Genomic DNA, 24,974 nt, shown 5'->3' with positions numbered 1-24,974 from the left:
CTTTCAGCCATGGCTGTGACACAGGGCAACAAGTCCTTACCCTGCACACAGCACGGGGATCCTGGGCCTGGCCCAAGAAACCACTCTGTCCTCCTGAGCCTCTGGGCCTGTGATGGGAGGGGCTGCCATGAAGGTCTCTGACATGGCCTGGAGACATATTCCCCATGTTCATTGGGATTAACATTAGGCTCCTTGCTACTTATGTGAATTTCTGCAATTGGCTTGAATTTCTCCCCCTGAAAATAGGTTTTTCTTTTCTATCACATAGTCAGGCTGCAAATTTCCCAAACTTTTATGCTCTGTTTCCATTTAAAAATAGAATGCCTCTAACAGCACCCAAGTCACCTCTTGAATGCTTTGCTGCTTAGAAATTTCTTCTGCCAGATACCCTAAATCATCTCTCTCAAGTTCAAAGCTCCACAAATCTCTAGGGCCACCAGTATCTTTGCTAAAACGTAACAAGAGTCACCTTTGCTCCAGTTCCCAACAAGTTCTTTATCTTCATCTGAGACCACCTTAGCCTGGAGCTTACTGTTCATATCACTATCAGCATTTTTGTCAGAGCCATTCAACAAGTCTCTAGGAGGTTCAGACTTTCTCACATTTTCCTGTCTGCTTCTGAGCCCTCCAAACTGTTCCAACCTCTGTCCGTTACCCAGTTCTAAAGTTGCTTCCACATTTTCGGGTATCTTTTCAGCAATGCCCCACTCTACTGGTACCAATTTACTGTATTAGTCCATTTTTGTGCTGCTGATAAAGACAGATCTGAGACCGGGAAGAAAAAGAGCTTTAGTTGGACTTACAGTTCCACATAGCTGCAGAAGCCTCAGAATCATGGTGGGAGATGAAAGGCACTTCTTACATGATGGTGGCAAGAAAAGAATGAGGAAAAAGCCAAAGTGGAAACGCCTGATAAACCCATCAGATCTCATGAGACTTGTTCACTCATATTCTCATGAGAATAGCATGAGAAAGACCAGCCCCCATGATTCAATTGCCTCCCCTGGGTCCCTCCTGCAGCACATGGGAATTCTGGGAGATACAATTCAAATCGAGATTTGCGTGGGGGCACAGCCAAACCATATCATCCCCTAAATAATTAAATAGTCTCATTAAATCCATTGTGTCATTTATAACTCTTTGGTTGCAACATAATCTTATTATTTACAAAGAGAATAAATAATAAAAGAGACTTATTATTTATAAAGAGAATTTGCTGCACGTTAGTGGAATGCATGCAATCAAATGGAATGATGAAGAACTAGGCCCAGAAAAGTAAGGAATCAGCAGTTATGGCAATGGAAACTACTCAGAAGCATCATTTGGCCCCCTCTGCTAGAATGAACAAACTCCGACTGTTTGTTTTATTCTTTCTTCCCTTTAGGATACAAAATTTCTTGTATTGTCCCACCCCTGCAGGGTCTGCCATTCTTGCCCCCCACCCTTTAAAGGTGTCAATGTCAAAACACACCACACTGTCGTAACAGAATCACAAGTAATTAAATGGTTTATTAATAAGGAATATGTGAGCAAAGAGAGATACTGGCTGAGGGGCCCACAGATAGCAATTGGGAGAAGGAAAGAGAAAGAATATGGTCCTGTGGCAGCTGGAACAATGTTGAATAATATTAAATAATGTTGGGTGCAGACTAATTGTGGCTGGTCTCTCCTGTTGCATGGGTGGAAGGTCAGAGGGTCAGGGCAAGTTGCATTGCATGAGATTAGTGAGACCTAATTAGAAAAAAGCAGGATGGGGCATCTGACAGTGTCCATCAAGTTAACTGAAAACAGTTTAACCAAATGCAGTTTTGTTGCAAGTGACGTATTGCTTCAGATGTTATTTCTCTAAAGCTCCCACTGAAGACTGAGAAAGACTGAAGGATCACACTTTGGTAATGTGACCACCTTCTGTCTATGGCAGTGACTTTCACTTTGTCTTACTGTTCCACCACGACTCCACACACTGGAAGATGACTGCTCCTTAAAAGGAAAGGAAACAAGTACTAGGTAGCCAGATGATCAGAAGGAGCAACTACCAGCCCTGAGAGTGTAATGACTGCCATTCTTTGAAATCTTTTGAAAAGTTTTCTTTCTTCTGCTACTTTACAACAAAAGCAAGAAATTTGATAAGAAATATTTTTGGGGGGTGGAGAAATGTTATATTGAAAGACACACAGAAACAATAAAGAAGAGAGGGGGAGAGAGAATTTCAAAAAGTATACAGGTGAAAACAAGGATAGTATTCAGATTTTAAATCCTTCTCTTTGAAATCTGTGCTATGCACAAACTTGTGCATATTACTAATCCTCAAAACCGCCTCTATGTTTGTTACAGAACATCATGAGATATAGCAACCTTCCAAAGAATTCTTGAGGTAAAATTTTCACCATAGCATAAGAAAAAGTATTCAATAAATGTTACGTTAGTTTTATAATCTTATACCATGTTCATATAACTGTATTTTGTGAGACTTTCAATACTTGAAATGGTTTTATAATATGTATCATGCCTACTCTGTCAACATTTAATTCAAAAAGACACAAAATATTTAGAAAGAAAATTTTAAAAATTACAAAAGCATCCATACTTCAAAGTAGGTAATTAAAATGATTCATATATGTTAATACAAATTATAATAACTGTTCGTGTGTTTTGTTGACCATATAGCTTTTAACTATAATTGGAACAGAGAAAGAACAACTTTTCTGAAGATCCTTGCATTAAAAACAAGACAAGAGACAATATTTAGTGTGACTCTTTAAAAAAAGAAGCCTTACCCCAAAATGTAAAGATATGATTTAATAACATCAGTATTTTCAAATCATGTTGAAAATGTGTTCAAATGTAGTTGCTTTCATTCTATGCATAATTGAACAAGAAATTACTTTGTGAGAGCTCTTCTGATTTTCAAGGCAAAATAATCCACCAATGCTTTTAGTCTTATAACAATATGTTAGTAACTTTATTGTACCACAAATAACAGCCTATGCTTGTCACATGCGTCCACTTTGGCTTACATATGAAAGAATTAGAACAGAATCTGATCTATGTCCTTGTGGTACCAGCACTTAGCAAAACGCTCACCTTTGATAATAGGTGTGATAGACCTCCCTGCTAAATAATAAAATGATGGAAATATGGCAAAAGAGAAGACAGAGTGAATTAGGCATAGAACATTATTTTTCCCATCCTGGGTCCACTGTGGACCAACTTCATGACTTTGGAAAAATATTTCCCTTATTTTTGTTCATTTGCAAAATGATGTGTGACTCTCTGAGTCGTTTTGAGGATGAAAAGTGATTAAAAGTATATATTAATAAACAAGCAAAATATGATTGTTATTAAAATCCACTTGCTTTCGCATTTCCTGGAGAATAAGTGTTTTGTTCAATATGCAGCAAACTGTAAGGACTGTCTGGCAGTTAAAGCAAAGTGGTAACTACATTTGAGATTTTCCTTAAAGCACTGAGGAACTCTGAGCACCCAAAAATGGTTTGCATTAAGCTCAATTTGGCCTCTTGTCTATTAGTATTGGAGGCAGTAAAATGAGATAATCCAAGGAAATTTTTGTACCAATGTTTATTGAGTACTTATTCTATCTAAAAATTTTGCTAGTTACCATGGCAGTGAGTGAACCAATATGAAAAGTCTTCCATTGTAAAGAGAAATGCATACAAATAAATAAAAATAATAATAATGTAGATAAAAGGTAAGAGTGCAATGCATTATAGAAGAGATAAGCCATTTTTCTGAGGGAATTTACTCAAGTTCTTATGATCACAACAATATAAAATCAGTGGTGTGCTGGGGTTCCTACAAGCTCAGTGAGCCCATTGTATGCATTTCTTCTCAACCTAGCTTTCGGTGCTGTATCCTTGGTAGCTTGAACTTGGCCATGGTGGGGAAGGATACACATGACAGAAACAGACAAATGTTGTAAATCAGGGCTTCACAACCACTTCTAAAGCCATTAAAAAAATATTTACGCAATAGTGCTCATATACTACTGTATATAATTCTAAAAGAAAAAAAAATTTGAAGAGGAAAAGAATATTTATATTTCTTTAGGCTAAAACAACTTGATATTTTACCTTTTTTTTTCCTTTCTCTGAAGTCCTGGTTAGCATGCTTATAACAGTTCTAGAGTGATTGTTTTCCTCTTTTCTAGGAATCTGAAGAAAAATAGAAATAAATAACTTAAAGCTCCTAATAAATGATTTTCTTAAGGCATAAGATAAATTTGGTTGATTTAGAATTTTAATAAGGGGTTATGTAAGTTTTAAACATTTCCCTCCAACTGATAGTATCATTACTTTCCATCACAGATAATAACTCTCATCATATGTTATAGATGAATGCATAGCAAAAATGAAATACCCAACTAGAAAACTCTTGCAAAAAAATGGCTAAGCACTGGCTGCAGTGTTCAATAGGCCTGAGGCAATAATAACTTGCCTAAATACCAACTGAAATTCACAGAACAGCTTTGCTGGATTGAATGCAATTTTGCTTAGTACAAATTAATTTCAGTTTCCTTTTTCACTGGTGATCACCAAGGATCCAGGTCCTACTGCCAATAAATAACACTTCATTTGTTTCTTGAAGTAATTATTTGTGTGCAATAGAACTTTGAGAAGCCAGTTTTTGTAGCCTCCAGCTATCACTTCTCCACAAGAGCCCTCTAAATTAGTTAACTTATAGCAATTACTTCTGCACCAGATGATTATCTTTCTAACCCAATCAATTTGTCTACATTTTCATCACTACAAAGTCTTTAAGCTGGGAGAGAAATATACATGCTTGGATACCTGGTAGAGGTTAAATTTCCATTTTATAGTTGCTCTTTTTGGCTTACATAATTGTAAAAACCTGATGAATTATTTGGTAATGTTCTTCTATAATAACTTTCTATCATTGACTCAGGGTTTAACTTGTTTTAGAAGAGTACATCTTATATTTCCCCTGAATTGCTACAGGTGGGGACAGCTTACAGGGCACTGCTGCTACTCTTAGTGACCTGTATACTGAGACTGGTCCATTAGGCTTTTAGTGGTCTGCTGCAGGCAGGAGACATTTATACCTGAGGGTGAGGTTTTAATTGCTAACACTTCCTAAAGGAAGGTGAAGGTAGACAAAAGGAAAAGAAAAGAAAAAAAAAGGTCAGGAACACAAAATGAGTTCTAGGGGAAAAAGGCAGAAAACAGAAGATTCCCATTGTATTTTTCATAGGATGTTTCAAAGAACTATTCATTATATTAGGACTTGATGTTCTAAGAACATGAGGAATATGGAAAGGACCTGGATTCCTGAGTTTTTTCACCTAGATCTCCTCTAGATTGTTGAGATGCTCTCTCCACAATTGGAAAGGTTAGTTGCCACAGAAGTAAGAAGCTGAGACAGCTGAGAACGAAGACACACATGCCAGACCATCCCAAGGGCAGTTCTGAAGGGCAGTGGGATTCATTCAGTAGGGTAAGTACAGAGATTGGAGAGCCACACAGATTAGAGTGATAAACCTGATTCACACCCTAGCAGGTTTTCAACCTTGGCTAAATTTCCCCCCCACACCCTGAATGTCTGTAATGACATGGAGGTAAAAATGACACCTGGGATATATTGAACACTCGAATGTACCTGCCACCAGGTCAGATGCTTTACCTCCTTCACCTGCTTTGAGTCACATCACTAGCAAATGACAGAGTTAGAATTCAAACCCAGGAAGTCTCATTCCAAAGCTCACTTTCTTATCCATTATGCTTTACTAACCACTGTATTTCTCATCTAGTTGATAACAATGCAAAATACGTATGAGGAGCACATATGATTGTTGTGTAACAAAATACCACAATTTTAGCAGCTTGAAACAATACCCATGTATTAGCTCACAGTTCTGTCAGTCATAAGTCAAGCATGGGGTGGTAGGTTTCTCTGCCTGTATATCACAGCTGGTTATCAAAATACAAAGGCTGAAATAAAGGGATCAGCTGAACTGATTTCTCACAGAGGTTCTGGGGGTTGCAGGGTAAGGGAGGGAATCTGCTTCCAAACTTAGTCTTGTGGTTGGTAGAATGAAGTTCCTTGCAGTTGATGAACTGAGGTTTCTATTTCCCTAAAAACTATCAACTGGGGACTGTCTCAGTTCCTAGAAGCAGATGCTCTCACTGGGAACCCAACATGGGTGTTTGCTTTCCTCAGGCCAGCCAGAGTGGATATTTCTTACTTCTTCTTTTTGACCAGTCAGAGCAATCTCTGTGCTCTTGCAGGAATAACATGATTAAATCAGTCTACTTGGATAAATTCTCATTCTTAAAGACACATATGTGCCACCTAATATAACTTGATCACAGGAGTAAAACATTTTCTTTGTACAACCCTATGTATTATGTAGGACATCCACAATAGGAGCAGAAAATCTTATGCACCATTTTAGGAATCTGTCTGTAATGTGAAGGGTAAAAATCTCAAATGGTTGTGAGAATTAAAAGTAATAATTTTATGTAATATATTTAGCACCTTGATTAGCATATAACACTTGATACCTGGTAGCAATGATGATGATGATGATGAGGATGATGATGACGACTATGGGTTTGAAAGTTTGGGTCTCCCCCAAATTCATATGTTGAAACATAATCACAAATATGATGGTGTTAAGAAGTGTGGCATTTAGAGTTGATGAGATCATAAAAGCTGACCCCCCATGAATCAAATTAGTGCCCTTATAAAAGAAAACCAAGGGACACTCCTCTCCCCTTCTGCCATGTGAGCTCAGAGTGAGAAGATAACTGTGAGAAACTGGGCCCTCCCCAGACACCAGATCTGCTGATGCTTCAATCTTGGACTTTCTGGTCCCTAGAACTGTAAAAAATATATATTTCTGTTGTTTATAAGCCACTCAATCTATGGTATTGTGTTATAGCAGCCTGAAAGGACTAAGACAATGATGATGATGACTCAAAAAGAGATAGATTCTGACTTCCAAGGGACAAGCACGGAATCAAAAGCAGGGTATAGAATTAGAGATACAGAGTCTCTCTCACTCTCTTTCTGTGTGTGTGTGTGTGTGGGGGGGGGGGTGTGTAAATATATACACAGAGATATGCTTTCACCCCAAAGCAAACCTTAATATGCACAAGACAAGTGATATACAAGCCATGGTTATTGGGTATTATAAATTATGACTGTGTCAAATTAAGTTTCATGGTAATATCTATTAAGTCAGGTTAAGGCAACAATATCGGAGCTCATAATTCTTTTACATCCATATTTTATCATAGTGTATTTAAAATCAAACTGTAAACAAGAAAATAAAATAGGATATACTACTTTATATCATCACATTTTGCAACAAAACATTATTCAGATATAAAGATTCTATATCAAGAATTCTTGACATTAATGAGAATGAAAATTATTGAATGAAAAAAAGCTTTCTTGTTTCATAAAACAGATAATGAGAGCCTACTTTGTGCTAGGAAGTGATGATATGTAGCAGGAATAAATAATATCTACTCTCAACCAATTGCAATGTATTTAATGGTGAAACAAGTAAATCAATGACTATATAATCTGATAAGAAGTATACTAAAATTATGCTCAGAAAGCTATAGTGATGAACTTTATTTTAAAATACGTAGCTTGACCTATAACTTCGATTGTAGACTGTGATTGTGACTGTATATTCCATTAATGTGGAGATTACAGACTTAGTTTACTCTTCACTTTTCCTCTAGTTCCTATCATATAATGACACATACAATTGTTTGTAATACATGTATTTTTAATGAATAAAAAATTAGCAGATAATTTATCTATTTGGTTACTGGTATCTGTCCCCTTTCTCTTAATTATTCTCATAAAAAATATTGTCTATCTATACCATTTTCTTCCCTGCATCCAATTTTAGGGAAATTCTACTCCATTCCTTGTTTAGAGTTTAGCTGCAACTCCATCAGACTATCTTGTGGCTCTCATCTAGGATAATTTTTTTCCCTCCAGGATACATTCAGCATGCCTAGAGACATTTTTCCAATGGGAAGGGGTTGTAAATTGCTACTGGCCTCTAGTGATTAAGGCTAGAGATATTACAGCATATTCTACAGCACAGAGGACAGTAACTCTCCACATCAACTAATTATCTGGCCCCAAATGTTAATAATAGAGATATTGAAAACTCTGGTCTAATTTCATTTTTCTAGCCCCAGCAATTGGCTCAGGGATGAACACCTGATCTAAATTGGTCTAATCAGACCAAAGGTTGAAAACTTTCTTTGATGGTTAGGGGAAATGAGGCTCTGTGGGAGCATTCATTGAATGAGAAAATATATAGAGCTGAGACGTAGAGAAACAATTTAAGATCAAGAAGGGAATGTTTTATGTGATTAGAGTCCAACTGAAGATAAGCCAAAGAGTACTAAGAGAGATTAGCATGATTTGAGCAACCACACTGAATATACTCTCTGAGGCTTTTTTCAACCTCTCAATATTTTAGACATATAATCCAATAAGTTTCTTTTAAATTATTTAAGTCCTGGGGTTTGGGTTACTTGCAACAAATAACTTTTATTCTGAAGAAGAATATATGAATAAATTATAAGTAAGGCACAAATGAAAAATGTTATTAAATTATATTTGCAAAAATATTGAATATTTTTGCATTTTTTTGAAAAATAATGTTTTAAAATCTTTAAGAGGGGACTGTTTTGCTATACCCTGTGTATTAGTCTATTTTCACGTTGCTGATAAAGACATACCCAAGACTGGGAAGAAAAAGAGGTTTAATTAAACTTAACAGTTCCACAGGGATGGGGAGGCCTCAGAATCATGGCAGGAGGTGAAAGGCACTTCTTATATGGCAGCAGCCAGAGAAGAATGAGGAAGAAGCAAAAGCGGGAAACCCCTGATAAACCATCAGAACTTGTGAGACTTATTCACTATCACAAGAATAGCACAGGAAAAGACCAGCCCCCATGATTCAATTGCCTCCCCCTGGGTCCCTCCCACAACCCGTGGGAATTCTGGGAGACACAATTCAAGTTGAGATTTGGTGAGGACACGGCCAAACTATATCACCCTGTGATATATTCCACTATCCTAATTATCAAGAGAGAGAGAAAGACAGAGAGAGGGAGAAGGAGGAACTTTATTTTAGAGATAGGATTTAGATGCACTTAATCATTTTCTCTTCAAGTTTAAAGCCCTCCTTCCCTTACCCTTCTATGCTAAGTCATTGTCTAAAGATAAAATAAGGTTTTATGAAGAGTGTCTCCAAAACACAATTACCCCCAATCCTAGACTGGGAACAGAATTATATTGAAAACTCACTTGATAGAAAGGCAGCTAGCATTGGAATTCATTTTCTCTTATTTGATGAGCCCTGTCTCGACCATACAATGTAACAAATGAAAGCATATTATCCTATCCTTTAATACTGAAAATGTTCTCAGGACTCCTACTAGTATAAATATTTAATATTGTGAAGTATGGCAACAGAAGAGAGTCACAGGGCATTGCTGTTAACTTTAGAAGAGAGTCATAGGGCTTTGCTCCTATCCTCAGTTATTATAAATATATTTGTCTCAAACAAATGAAGCAGTAACAAATAGAGAATTAACATATTTTTCATGCTAATTGAGGACAACATTTACTCTTAGATTCTTCCAGGGAGCAGGACAGTTACTGTCAATACACACTCTGTGCAGATGTAGCTCCTCTGTGCTATCTCACACAGCCAGAATAATATTCCCCAAAATCTACTGAAGTCATGAACTCCCTATTTTTAAAATCCTTCAGTAGCTTCCTAAATTTGAAAGATACAAGCCAGAATCTTTCGTGATATAGTAGAAACTTCAGATCCTATTTATTGCCTGCATGTGGGCCACACCTTTTTCCATCAACTCTCCTATGTATATCTGCTACTACTACTTATTACTAAAGTATTTCCAACATAGCACACAATTTCCTACCTCATTGGTTTTGCATATAATGTTTGCAAAGCATTCTCCTCTCCCTTGATCATATGCCACATTTCTATCCATGTTGCTGACTTAAAACCCTGAACCTTACTGATCTTTCTACTACTCCATCACCAGTAAAGATGAGTTTCTCCCTCCCCTCTGTTTCATCAATGCCATGTAAATCTTTCTCTTTGTGCTTGTTGCTTCATTTTTTCTCACTCTCCAAACAACTTATAAGTCCCTGCAAGCAAGCACCATTTGATATTAATGTTTTTATCCCTTAAAAGAGTGACTTTCAAGTTTTTGGAACAGTTATTCACATGAAAACATGTAGTTTAAATAGTGGCTCAGAACATTTATATATTATATACGTATGTATACCATGTATATATGTATGCCATGTATATACATACACACATGTGCGTATATACATGAATCTGAATATAGAGATTTCTCTTACCAAAATTCATCATTTTTTCTCTTCTCTTCTTTCTCATGCCTTCCCTACTTCATATTTGAATAAAACTACCCTCTCCCCAAATATTCTTCCTCTCTTCCATGCATAGTTAAATAGCATCAACATCCACCAACTGTTCCAACAAACATTCTGAGAGTCGTATTGATCTCTCCCTTTTTTTCATCTCTCTCATGTAATCCACATCTACTCTGCATCCGTGGCTTCCAGATCAACTCAAACATTAGTCCAAACTGGAACTATTTCTCATTGAGTAATGAAAATATCCACCACCTGGTCTTCACAATTCCATACTAATCTTTTCATAATCTTTAAAAAAATGGAAATCAAAGCCAGGGCATGTCACTCTGTATTAAATTCCTAGGCCTTCCATAACAAATTACTACAATCTTGGTAGCTTAAAACATGGAAATTTATTTGTTCATAGTTCTGAGGGCCCGAAGTATGAATGAAGGTGCCAGCAGTACCTACCTCCCTCTGAAGGCTCTAAGTGAGAATCCTTCCTTGCCTATTCCAGTTTCCAGTGTCTCTAGGGGTTTCTTGTGCTGTGATTGCAGAATTCCAATCTCTGCCTTTGTCTTCTCATGGCTTCTTCTCTGCCTGTCTGTGTCTCAAATCTCCTTTTTCCTTTCTCTGATGCCTTCCACTGTACTTTGGGCCACCCTAAATGACCTCATCATTAGGGTGTCCTCATCTTGAAATTATTAATTATATTTGGAAAGATCTTTTCTACAAAATAAGGTCACAGTTGTAGATTCTTGGTTATCCTACTTTTTGGAAGACCACAATTCAACCCACTACACATTAATACACCTTCAGTGACCTCCCAGTGCCTCAATACATCATATTTTTAATTTTTATTGTATAGTAATAGTAGTTGAGAAATCAAAAGTAAAGGAGATAAAGCATAAAATTACTGTATTATATTTATTTTTACCTTTTGTAGCTTCTGCCATTATTTGTTTATGTTTTTGTTTATGCCCCAGACTAGAGGATAAGTTCTTAAGAGCAGATATTATATATATAATTGCAGTATCAATCCATGTACATTCAATCAATATGTGAGATTAAGAAATAAAGTAATTGTTGAAGAAAATAAGAGAAGAAAGTAATGGCTACATTCTTTCAACTCTTAGACCATTTTACTGTATTCCTTGGATTATCTTTCAAACTTCTTGTGTATATCAATGAGCTTCCTTGCCACTAGATTCTGAATTCCATGCCTGTCATTTACCCTATTTCAGTCCGGTTAAGAATCATTGCTGGGGAGCTAGTGTGATCATTTGGAGATAGGAAGACACTTTGCTTCGTAGAGTTACCAGAGTTCTTGTGCTGGTTCTTTCTAATCTACCGTGTGGGCTAATGTTCCTTTACTCTTTAAAGTTGCTGTCTTTTGATGGGGCTTTTTGCTCTCATGTTCTTTGATGCCCTTAAGGGGTTTGACTGTGGTATAAATTAGGTTTAGTTGATTGACTTCATTTCTGGATGCTTTCAGGAGGCCAAGTCCTGAAAGCCAAGTCAGTGGGCCCTGTGTGGATGCAGACTGGCAAGACTGTGGAGATGCTCTTATGTACGCACAGTAGCAAAATGACAAGGAAAGGCTGCAGGTGGGTACACAGACAGGAGAAGGCTGTGGCCGGGTGCATGCTAGTGGGACTTTGTCTGCAAAAGTGCTCTTACAATTAGACAGGGTCTGCCAGTGAAAGAGCTATGACAGAAGTTGCTGGAAAGCTAAGGCTGTGCTGCAAGTGGTTAAAGCAAGGTAGGGACCCTGGCAGAGGCAGGAAAACAGAGTGGCATTTACATCAAATGGGCCCTGTCCCATGGGCAAGAGAGTTTGCCCTGTCCAGGTCTTAGAACTAACAAAGGCTAGAGCCACCTACTGGAGCATGGCAAGCTGTGGGAGATGGTCACTGATATGGTTTAGTTCTGTGTCTCCACCCAAATCTCTTCTGTAATCACATGTCAGGGAGGGGCCTGGTGGGAGGTGATCGGATCATGGGCATGGTTTCCTCCATGTTGTTCTGTTAGAGTTCTCAGGAGATCCTGGTTGTTTGATAAGTCTGTGGCTCTTCTTTGATCTCTGTCTCTCCCTCCTGCTGCCATGTAAAAAGTGCCTTGCTTCCCTTTCCCCTTTCGCCATGGTTGTAAGTTTCCTGAGGCCTCCCCAGCCATGCAGAACTATAGGTCAATTTATAAATTCATAAATTACCCAGTCTCAGGTAGTATCTTTACAGCAGGGTGAGAATGGGCTAATACAGAGAATTGGTACTAGAAGAGTGGGGTACTGCTATTAAGATAACTTGAAAATGTGAAAGTGACTTTTGAAGTGGGTAACAGGCAGAGGTTGGAACAATTTGGAGGGCTCAGAAGAAGACAGGAAGATATGGGAAAGTTTGGAACTTCCTAGGGACGTGTTGATTGGTTTTGTGATATGGACAATGAAGTCCAGGCTGATAGTGATATGGACAATGAAGTCCAGGCTGAGGTGGTCTCAGATAGAGATGAGGAACTTATTGAGAAATGGAGTAAAGTTCACTCATGCTATCCTTTAGCAAAAAGCCTGGCAGCATTTTGCCCGTGCCCTAAAGGTCTATGGAACTTTGAAGATGAGAGAGATGATTTAGGGTATCTGGTGAATAAAATTTCTAAGGAGCACAGCATTCAAGATGTGACCTGGCTTATTCCGAAAGCATTCAGGTATATGTATTTACAAAGAGATGATTTGACTTTGGAACTTATGCTTAAAAGGAAAGCAGAGCATAAAGGTTTGGAAAATTTGCAGTCTTACCATGTGGTAGGAAAGAAAAACCCATTTTCTGGGGAAGAATTCAAGGTCAGCTGCAGAAATTTGCGTAACTAACTAGGAGCCAAATGTTAATCACCAAGACAATGATGAAAATGTCTCCAGGGCATTTCAGACATCTTCATAGCAGCCCTCCACATCATAGGCCTGGAAGCCCAGGAGGGAAAAATCATTTCATGGGCTGGGCCCAGGGTCCCACTCCTATGTGCAGCCTCAGAACTTGGTGCCACATGTTTCAGTCACGCCAGCTCAAGCTATGGCTAAAAGCTTACAGCTTAGGCCATTGCTGCAAAGGGTGCAGGTCCCAAACCCAGGCAACTTCTATATGGTATTGGGCCTGCACATGCACAGAAGTCAAGAACTGAGGTTTGGGAACTTCTGCCTAGATTTCAGAAGATGTGTGGAAACACCTGGATGTCCAGGCAGAAGTCTGTTGCAGGGGCAGAGCCCTCATGAAGAACCTCTGCTAAGGCAGTGCAGAAGGGAAATGTGGGATTGTACCCCAACAAAGTGTCCCTACAGGGGCTCTGTCTAATAGAGCTGTGAGAAGAGGATCATGGTCCTCCAGATGACAGAAAGGCAGATACACCAACAGCTTCACCAAGTGCCTGGAAAAGCTGCAAACACACAACACCAGACCCTAAAAGCAGCCACAGGAGCTGTACACTGAAGAGCTACAAGGGGAGAGCTGCTCAAGGCCATGGTAGCTTACCCCTAACATCAGCATACCCTGGATGTGAGACATGGAATCAAAGGAGATTTTGGAGCTTTAAGATTTAATGACTGCCCTTCTGGATTTCAAACTTGCAGTGGGCCTATAGCTCCTTTGTTTTGACCAATTTCTCCTATTTGGAATGTAAACATTAACCAAATGCCTGTACCCTCACTGTATCTTGGAAGTAACTAATTTGATTTTGATTTTACAGGCTCATAGGTGGAAGGGACTTCTCCTGTTTCAGATGAAACGTTGATTTGGAATTTTGAGTTAATTCTAGAATGATTTAAGACTTTGGGGTATTGTTGGGAAGGCATGATTGTTTCTCAAATGTGGGAAGGATATGAGATCTGGGAGGCGCCAGGAGAAGAATGATATGGTTTGGTTCTGTGTCCCCACCCAAATCTCATCTCAAATTGTAATCCCCATGTGTCAGGGGAGGGACCAGATGGAAGATGATTAAATCATGGGGGCAGTTTCTCCCATGCTATTCTTGTGATAGAGTTCTCAGGAGACTGATTATTAGATAAGTTTGTGGCCCTTCCCCACTTTCTCTCTCCTGCAGCCATGCAAGATGTGCCTTGCTTCCCCTTTGCCTTTCACCATGATAGTAAGTATCCTGGGGCCTCCTTAGCCATGTGGAACTGTGAATCAATTAAACCTCTTTTGTTTATGAATTACCCAGTCTCAGGCAGTGTCATTATAGTAGGGCGAAAATGAAATACTACAGGTACTCATGGCTGTGCTCCACTGTGGCCATTCCTATGCTAAACCATCTGGGCTCCACACAGGCTGGGGTCTTGTCTCACTCAACTCTCCAGGCAGTTCTCCCTGCCAGCTCATATGCCCATGGGGGTCATAAGGCCTTCTACAGCTGGGATCCTGGAGGTCTGTGGCTAAAGTGGCCAACTCCAAACCTATTTCACCAACCCCCTTCCCTAGGAGCCACCAAGGGTCAGGAATGAGTCCAGGTGCTTTGCAACCCTGTGCAGGGTTTCCAGCTTCCTCCCCTTGCAGCCCATGGTCTGCAAACTCCCTCTCTCTGCTATGAATGCCCTCCTACCAATGATCTTCCCAGAGTGTGCCAGTCTAATTGATGGCCCAGTCTCTCTTTGTGGGAAAAGCTCTTCCTGGCCCCATATAGTAGGCCATCGTGGCTCATCTCCAAAGGATTTTATTTTATTTATGAAACATAAATATGTAGTATTTATATACTACATGATTTGCTTTGTGCTCCTTCAACATTTACCAAAGTAAAAAAGTATTGTTGGATTTTTTTGATGCTCATTTATCTCAGTTGTGATTAGAAGTTATAATTGACAATGTCAATAGTAATTGAAGAAAGACAAAGACATGAAGAAAATAATAAAAAAGAATTAAAATATATGATTCAGTTTATTTAACACACATGGAAAGTCTATTGTCAAATTTCAAATTTTGGTGTGTGATTGTAAATAATGGAATGAATTTCCTCAAGCAATATTTCTCAACTTTGGTGGAATCTTATAATTACTTTGGGAGCTTACAAAAAATATCACTGCCCAAGCTACACCTTAGAGCAATTACATTAGAATCTCTGGCATTGGGATCAAGGCAACAGGCCTTTTGAAAGCTCCCTAGGTGAAAAACAATGTACAACCATGGCTGAGAATCACGTCTTTGTAGTTATATTTTCTTTGTTAAATTTTATATGTGTGCAAGAATGTGTTTGTGTGTATGTATGTATTTCTTGACTTTTTGTCTATTGATTTGCTTTCTGGTATTATAGCATTTGAATTGTTGCCGATTTTTTTCATATGCTAATGTCACCTAGAAGTAGATATTTCCATCTTTTTCTGAGTATTTTTAATATTTTTATCTGCATGTTCCTTTTTAAAAAAGTTATTTTAGTTTAATATATATAATGTATTATATATTATTTAATGTTAATATATCATTTACTATTAAAATGAATGCTATTTATTCCCTACTTTTTGTTTTTTTCTAACATCAAGAAATGCACTGCTTCTCAATTGGGTGATTTTATTTAAATAATCCTAAGTTTTGGATGTTTCTACTTGATTTATTTAATTCATATCATATCAAACGATATGTAGGTTGGTTTATTTCTTAAATACTCTGTTGATATTGTACTTGAAGTCCCTAGCTCAACATGAGAAATATGATATTTTAAACATTTTTCAAATGGAAAGAATTTTAGAAATCTAGTCCAGTTTTTTTCATAATTTTGACCATAAATCACTCTTAAAAATATATTTTACATCATGTCCCAGTGTACTCATATACACACATTCACAAAACAGTTTCATGATGCAGTGTTTATCTTTTTAATATGTGAAGCCCTGTCATATGTTCTTTATAACTTAGTTTTAAACATCTGTCACGATAAACAAATTGGTTTTACAACCTAATTAAATGTTGAGACATGTCTGAAGGTCAACATCCTTGTTTTATAGGTAAGCTTAGAACCTCAGACCTAATGATCTTGCCCAAGGTTTTACACTAGATGGTGATGGCATTCTGTTCAGTGACTGGAGCTGCTAACCAGAGTGCATCACATCAATGATTCTAAAATGTGATTATTTGTCAGTATTACATCTGGAAGATGTTAACGTGAAGCTTTTCAGGCCTCTCCCCTAGGATTACTGAGTAAGCCAAATTTTCCTAAATATAATATTGTGTATTGTTTCATTTTAACATGCATCTAGGCTAACACAGGCTTATTAGAAAAATTGAACCTCCAAACAGACAGCCAGGCTAGACAGATTCTTCCATGCTTTGTGTCTGGATTATTCCTACTAGCTGATAGCTTCTCTGAATGTTTTTCAAGTACATTGAGTTTATACTAAGAATAGCTAACGTAGCTATAATTTCTAATTAAAAGGAATTAACTAGGGAGAAACAAAACAAAATATATATTATACAATATATAAGTACTCTATGAATACATGACTTTCTTTCTAAATGAGGCTACACAGGAATGAAATACATGCATCTGACCCTTCACTGTAAGCTTATAAAAAAAACTATTTATTTAATTTTTTCTCTATTTCTATAGTTTCTAGACCAAACCTTACTACCTCTTAAAGAGGTGTGACCAAATGTTTTGAGCCATTTAGTATAAACTTTCTGAGGGCATACTCTGAACATTGTATGTGTGCATGTGTGAATGTATATGTCTGTGTGATATAAATATAATACAATTTTGTGTATTGTGACAAATGTTTACATGTATACGTAAAGCACATATACACTTATTTATAAAGTATATACATGTGCCACTCTTCCATTACAATTGTTATACAATATCTACAAAATAGAATTATACAATATCTATCAAAGAGAAATTTAGAAAGTTGAGATAAAAATGAGTAAAAAGATAATTTATCTTTCTCCTCTCCTATTGATAATTTTGCCTATCCCATTATGGAGACTAGGAGAATATTTCTCAAATGTTTCTGATCATTATTTATTAAAAGTATGTATATCAGGGCCTTATTTCAAAGTTATTAGATTGGAATTACCATAGTGGCTGACTAATATTCTAACCTTCTGTTCTAGTTGGGCCAGTTTGTACCAGAATATCTCACACATTGCAGTAAGTAACATCAACAGAGATACTGCCAACCTCTACCTACTCATGTTGACTTAGTAGATGTGAGATTGGCTTGGGAATTGGCATTTTATAAAGCTACCATGGTTTTAGAAGGTACATAATGACAGAATATATCTAACACATGCACATTGATTGACACGTTAATTCACTACCTATGTGTAGTTTTTCCCAAGTTTCTATATGAAACTACTTCCAACTTAGTGGCTAACAATATTTTTCCCTTGAATTTCTAATGATAGTTTAATTGACTACATATGTGTAGTTTTCCCCAAGTTTCTAAATGGAACTACTTCTGAGTTGGTGGTTAACAATCTTTTTCCCTTGAATTGCTAAGTTTGCATTGTTTTCAACAGTAAAGTTTTATAATAGATATGCTAGCTAATTGTTTTCCACTCAATTTAGAAAATTTACCTTGGGTATTCCTGAATGTTTATCACAGGTATTTAGCATTTGATTTATGTTTTAAAGATGTACTCTTTCATTGGGACAGTTATGTTCTGTCATAATAAATACATTTTAGCACTAAAATGTGTGCTATGTAGAAAACATAGGTTTTAGAATCATTAATTCCAAGCTTTTTATATATTTTCTTCAAGAAGGGCATGATAATTTGCATATATTGTCCAATTCATTTTCAGGTTTTTCAAATAATCATAAAGTCATGGGTTATATAAAAATAGCAAATATTTTAATGCAGTAGGTACTCTTGACTTGTATTCTCACCTTAATTATGCAAATACACACACACAAACACACACATCCATACCTACATGCTTATACATATTGCCACATAATTGTTGACACATTCAATCAATCAAAAACTCACTCAGTATTGATTTTAAAAGTATTGAACAAGAATTTTACATGACTGTGTATTGCATATATGAACACTTTTGCCCTGACGAGATTTCACGAAAATTAATTATGGATTATATCAATAACATAAGCTTTCCAGATTTCTAGTCAGGTCTTCTATTTATTGAACCAAGATGGACAAAAAGGAATTGTCTTTAATTTTGCTGTGTTAAGAAGGATTCCAATCCTTCAGAATATGACATTCTGAAAAAGGGTAATTTGTTTCCCTATATGCAGTTGAAACGTGAGTGAGAATTATGAATATCAACTTGCTGCAAAATGATGCGGCAGACTTAACAACCTTGCTTAGAATTCTTGGCAAAGTACAAACAGAAAATGTTCTACAAAGGATGCTAATGTTTTTATAAGGCAATAATCCATAGAAGCAAAAAGAATTTTAGGGAAATTTATCTTTTAGGAAAGCTCTTCCTGCCTTTAGGCAACACTGTCTAAACATAAATCATTTTCAAACTCTATTTAATTTTTGTAATCCCTCTATAACATTCAGAGGGAATTCAGTGTGCTTCTTGAGTATCTGTTTCCAGTATATCATGCCAGTTAATTAATCTTTGGTTTGTTTTTGCCAAAGGCAAAACCGACTATTGTTTATTGGTTTTCAGGATTTACTCAGGAAGTTAACAGCAAGAGTCAACTAGCTCTTAGTATTACTCATTTCTTTTTTTATTTTATTTTTTTTTTTTTTTGAGACGGAGTCTTGCTCTGTTGCCCAGGCTGGAGTGCAGTGGCGCGATCTCGGCTCACTGCAAGCTCCGCCTCCCGGGTTCACGCCATTCTCCTGCCTCAGCCTCCCGAGTAGCTGGGACTACAGGCGCCCGCTACCACGCCCGGCTAATTTTTTGTATTTTTAGTAGAGACGGGGTTTCACCGTGTTAGCCAGGATGGTCTCGATCTCCTGACCTCGTGATCCGCCCGCCTCGGCCTCCCAAAGTGCTGGGATTACAGGCGTGAGCCACCGCGCCCGGCCTGTATTACTCATTTCACTGAAGAGTCAAGTTAGGTAGATGACTGCATTAATTTGTTAATTGGATGGAAAGCCTCATAACCCTTGTCCACAATCTGTAGCAGTTTTCAAAAAGCTGTACATTTGGCATTTAATTAGTAAAGATTACATAACTGACTGACCAAATAACTAATTTTCATATCAGATGAATAAAAAACAAGAAGACTCACCTTCATGAATCCATTTTTGGTTGCTAGGTTGGTTTTCTTTACCAGACTTCTTTAGTGCCTTCTGTTTCTTAGTCTAGACCTCATGTTTGATTTTACATGTGGTCAGTGAGTCTAACACTACAGTTTCTCTTATGTTCTCCTCCAGAAGTTGAAAATAAGAACTGCCTTGTTAATAAGTCACATGACTTTTTAAAAAGGAAAGTGTTACCTGTTCAGGCAGTTTTTGCTACTTCTTTTACTTTTAGAATGTGTTCTATGCTTATTGTGTTATGAGACACTCCTGAAGAATATTAAAGCTACATTAGCTCCAGAGGATCTCATCAATTTCTAAGGAGTATAGTGAAACTTGTATTTGCTCTTCTAAAACACTTAGTCAGAAGTTCGTAGATGCTATTGAATATATTTCTTGCACAAATATAAATTCAACCACATTCTCTAAAGAAAAAAATACTTAAAAAAACTACTTATTGTTCAGCATTTCCACTTTCAAATGATTTCAATTTTAAGCATTTTGTTATAAGGAATATTATGTATCCCTAATTAAGAATAGTAAAGAAAAAAGAATGATGAAAGAATAAAATTGGAAATTTATGGGAAAAAGATTTGAAGATATGTTGAAATGTGAATCAAGAAAATAAAATAATAGTTCCAAAGCAGAGTTATCTTCCCTGAGATCCCGTTAAACGGACTTGCTTTCTGGCTTGCTAAGAACACAATTGTCACAGTCTTTGATGGCTGCCTTAAGAATTCAAACTTATTTGTGGCTTAAAATCTACATGGCACACAAACTTGAACATAATAATAATTATTAACATTTATTGGACACACACTGCATGCCAGGCACTATGCTAAGTGTTTCAAATAATAACTGATTATTACTATAAATGTCAACAACCCTGTGAGGTAGATCTATTATTATTTCCATTTTACGTGTAAGGAAAAAAAAAACAGAAGCCTGGGAAATAAAATAGCTTTCTTTACTTATAGATGGCAGATTGAGAATATAAAACATTTCTCCCTGATTCCAAAGTCCACCCTGTTAATAACTTTCCTATTCATTTATTGTTTCTCAACTGGAAAAAGATTACTGAGAGCCTATTACTGTCAAGCCATGTGGTAGACACTAGAAACAGAGGGGCAAACACAATAATGTCCCCACCATCATGGAGTGATTAATTATGCAATATGTGATTAACAGATATTTGTTAAATCATAAGTTAATAAGTTGAATCTTTCAAGAACCTTCTTGTCTTAAATAAACGCAAAATTTTAAGTGTATTTTTTTCATCAACTTCACTAGGTCTTTGGTCCCACAGAACATGGGGTAAATTGGCATATTCTCCTATTACTAATATTACTAATTTGTCCTAGAGTATGTTAAATAAGTTAACTTATAAAACAAAACTGAATACTTTTTGTGTTTTGAAGATTGAAGTGTCAATCTTCCACCCACTCCTTCCTAGTGCATGCTTTTAATAGTATCAGCTAATTTTCCGAGGCTGCAAAAACTCAAAATATTCAAATTGAGATTCCTCCGTATCATGTCCATTGATGTGCTTGCTCTGATCGCTGGATTATATTTATCTCATCCACTCTTTTGTAAAAGAATTAAACAGTGGCTGCCTCAATGATGAACAGATTTAATATGCTTATTCTCAAACCCATGCCTTACTCCTATTCTTAATCATTCACCTTGTTCCTCTGATATTACCTCCTAAGTACTTTGGAAATCCATCCCTGCCTCCCTTTTGCCATTACTACCACCCTAGCTTAAGCAAACATCTTTCACATGATTATTGCATGAGCCTTCTAATTGGTCTCCCTGCTGCCGGTTCTACACTTCACACAGCACTCCTATTCTAGCTTTCACATTATCTATATCATCTAGAAGCAACTAGGGTACATTAAAGTGCTAACCTATTAGAGTATATATATTAAACAATATTCTGACTTTTCTAATATTTTACTGCATCGTATAGAGAAGATTATATTCCAAAACCATTACAAGCTCCTTTAACTGAAGGTGTATATATCATTTATCTACATATTGTAACACTTAGTAATGCTTAATTTATTGTGATAGTCACTAAATTCTTGAACTGAACTGAAATTAATATTTATTGACTTTGCCGAGAGAAGATAACTGATTATTATTTGGCTTATGCCTGCTATTTTTTGTTCCTTCTTTCCCTCCTTCTCTTCTTCTAGCCTTTCCTCTTCCCTTCCTTCCCTTCTGTCCCCTTCCCCAGCTTCTCACCTTCCTTCCTTCCTTTCATTCCTTTCATTCATTCATTCATAGGATATTTTTCATTTATTTATTTATTTATTTTACTTTTTGTTCTTGGACAGATGTGCAGAATGTGCGGGTTTGTTACATAGGTATACATGTGCCATGGTGGTTTGCTGCATCTATCAACCAGTCTCAAGTGCCCACTATTGCCAGGTTATTGGTGTTTGGGATCCTATAAAACAAAAAGTGTCTGCTCTACTGGAGCTAAGTTTTATAGTGAAGAATTAAAAATAAGAATACAGGCCAGGCACGGTGGTTCACACCTGTAATCTCAGCACTTTGGGAGGCCAAGGCAGGCAGACCATCAGGTCAAGAGTTCGAGACCAGCCTGACCAACATGGTGATACCTCGTCTCTACTAAAAATACCAAAAAAATTAGCTGGGCTTGGTGGTGAATGCCTGTAATCCCAGCTACTCAGGAGAATGAGGCAGGAGAATTGCTTGAACCCAGAAGGCAGAGGTTGCAGTGAGCCGAGATTGCGCCACTGTACTCCAACCTGGGCGACAGAGCGAGACTCTGTCTCATTAAAAAAAAAAAAATACAAAATATTATGAATAGATTATCTGATATATGATAAGATTTTAATTCTTATGGAGAAAATAAATAAAAGCAGAGCAGAGTAAGTGTGATCTGGAATGCCAGAAGGGGCAGCTGAGATGATGTTAGTAGGTCACATGGAGAAGGTGATATTTGAACCAACACTTGAAGTAGATGAAGGGGAAAGCCCAGCAAATATCCCAGGGAAAAATCATTCAAGAAGATAGAGAAAAGAGCTGTGGCAAAGTCATCTGCTACAGGATATGAGATATGATTCTCTTTGGGTATAGATATAAGATAGAAGTCCATTCTTCTGTGAAGACCTTAAAAAATGGAATGCTTTAGTATAGGGCTATTGGATTTGTGCTATTGTGAATGGCTATGGAGCTTGTATGCAGTTTTCATTATACTAGTTTCTGTTTCTAAGCAGCAGTTCTAAGAACTCAAAGAAAGAATGTGCCAGGAGGTGGCTGTGTTTAGGAAGAGGGAGAAAAGCTGTGAGTTACTCAATGGAAGCTGTGGTAGAGACAGGCCAGGGCCAGCATAGCCAGAGGACAAGGCTCTAGATGACTGCAGGGCAGCCTGAAGTGAGGCATGTGACCTCGATAAGGGAAAAGTAGGCTTCAGTAGGCTTCGTCATATAGCAAGGATTATGACTGTGTAATAAGACATAAGCTCAGGTATTAGGAAGAGTAGGGGAGAGAAAACAGAGACTCAAGATTTTTCTCTAAGTTTTTTCAAGCCAAGAAATAAAAAGATTCAACAAATATTACTTTTCTGTGAACAAAAGCTTAACTAAGGATTCATAAATCTAGTAAAATAGATGCAAATTATGAGAACAATGAATAAGGCCTTTTCAGAGTCAGAGGCAAGTATTGATGTGCTTGGAACATTTTAGAGAATAACTTTTTTTGAAGGAATGTCAAATTAATAATATAATTTTTTCTTTTCTACATATTTATTTTCCTCTTATAGTGGATAGTAAGAGTTTTATTTTAACCCTTAATAACTGACAGTGCCTTTGAAAAGAATTTGCACACATTAAATGTCTAAAAAGTTATGAACATTGTAATCAGTGCCTGCTTCTTGTTCTTTTAATTTTATAAAGCAAACAAACAGCCATCCAGAACATTCAGAAAACAAACTATATGATTATCCTTGTAAAGGTGTCTTTCTATTCTTTTCTTTCTTTTTTACTATTTATTTTTTCCTCCTCTCCTTTTATTTTTTCATTTAATTTTGTGTTCAGGAAATTCTTCAATAAAATAGTTTTATTTTTTCAGTTACATAGATGTTTTGAGTTACCTAGTTAGTGTTGAAAACAATGGAAAAACAAATAGTTTATCAGATGGTAAAATCAAATTAACAAGAAACGTGTGTGTGTGTGTGTGGGGGGGGGGGGGGGGCATTTCCAAGTGAAAGAAAGAGAAGGTCTTCCTCTACTGAAGAGCTCACAAAGACTGCCAGAAAGATGGTGTTTCTAGAGGACACATACAAGAGGAAAAGTAACTCACAAAAGGGGATGAGTGACAAGGAGAACTCAGAGAAGAAGATGAAGAATTAAAACAAAGCATGATCTCAGAAAACTTGGGAAAGGATAATTTGAATGACTCAGTGGTCAATGAGAAGAGGTCCCTTAAATTTGTCATTAGAAAGTCATGACTGAGCACAAACCAATGCGGAAAAGAGGAAACAATTGGAGATGAGGTCACGAGTGCAGTGAGCAAATGCTAGGTTCTCAGGGATTTAGCAATCAAAAGACAGAAGGAAGGAGCTATGTAAGTGAAGAGTGGTATAGGCAAGAAAATATTTATTTAGAATAAGAGGGCTGTGTTTTTGTTTTTGCTTTTTCTCTTTGGTGTAGTAAAGGTAGGTGAAAGACCTGCAGTTAAAGGTTTAAAGGTAAAGATAGAACAATTATGAACTAATTATATGACAATAACTACACTATGCCTCACCTTAAGCACTTACTGAAAATTTTATGCTATCACTTTGTATTTTAGTTTTGCTTTCCCAATTAGAATAGAAGCTGCACCTTTCAGGGACCAGGTTTAAGACTTCTTTTGCATCCATCATAGCAACATACACAGTGCTGAGCCAATAACAAGTATAAAGAAAGTGCTTCTTTTTTGAATCATGAAAAGAAATAACGTGAACTACAGCATCAACTTTTTCAGATTTCACTGTGGATGTTGTTATAGTCTGTTCTCAAGAGTGAGCCAAGTATGTATTTTAGGATAAGTATCAGTTATCCAAAATTTGTGTAAGGCTTTATTATGTAAGTACTTTTTTTTTTTTTTTTAGATGGAGTTTCTCTTTTGTTGCCCAGGCTGGAGTGCAATGGCGCAATCTCGACTCACCCCAACCTCCGCCTCCTTGTTTCAAGCGATTCTCCTGCCTCAGCCTCTCAAGTAGCTGGGATTACAGGCAGGCGCCATCACGCCCAGTTAATTTTGTATTTTTGGTAGATACAGGGTTTCTTCATGTTGGTCAGGTGGGGCTCAAACTCCCAACCTCAGATTATCTGCCCAC

General features: G+C 37.0%; 2 long non-coding RNA genes across 4 annotated transcripts in view; one reads left to right on the top strand and one right to left on the bottom strand.

Moving 5' to 3' along the window:
• Nucleotides 1-24,974, bottom strand: part of LOC105374557 (uncharacterized) — a 485,690-nt gene that overhangs the window by 21,112 nt on the left and 439,604 nt on the right. Inside the window, exon 4 of one of the 3 annotated variants that reach the window (NR_188396.1) lies at nt 4,092-4,172. The exons of the other annotated variants lie outside the window; for them this stretch is intronic. This is a non-coding gene — a long non-coding RNA (uncharacterized LOC105374557). The remainder of the gene's footprint in view (nt 1-4,091; nt 4,173-24,974) is intronic. 3 annotated transcript variants of the gene reach the window in all.
• LOC105374558 (uncharacterized) overlaps nt 1-24,974 on the top strand; it is a 62,953-nt gene that overhangs the window by 3,266 nt on the left and 34,713 nt on the right. The gene's annotated exons all lie outside the window — the stretch shown is intronic.

This window comes from Homo sapiens, chromosome 4, assembly GCF_000001405.40.
Source record: "Homo sapiens chromosome 4, GRCh38.p14 Primary Assembly".
Lineage (NCBI taxonomy): Eukaryota > Metazoa > Chordata > Mammalia > Primates > Hominidae > Homo > Homo sapiens.
Note: the sequence above shows the minus strand (reverse complement) of the source record. Positions and strands in the feature narration are given on the sequence as shown.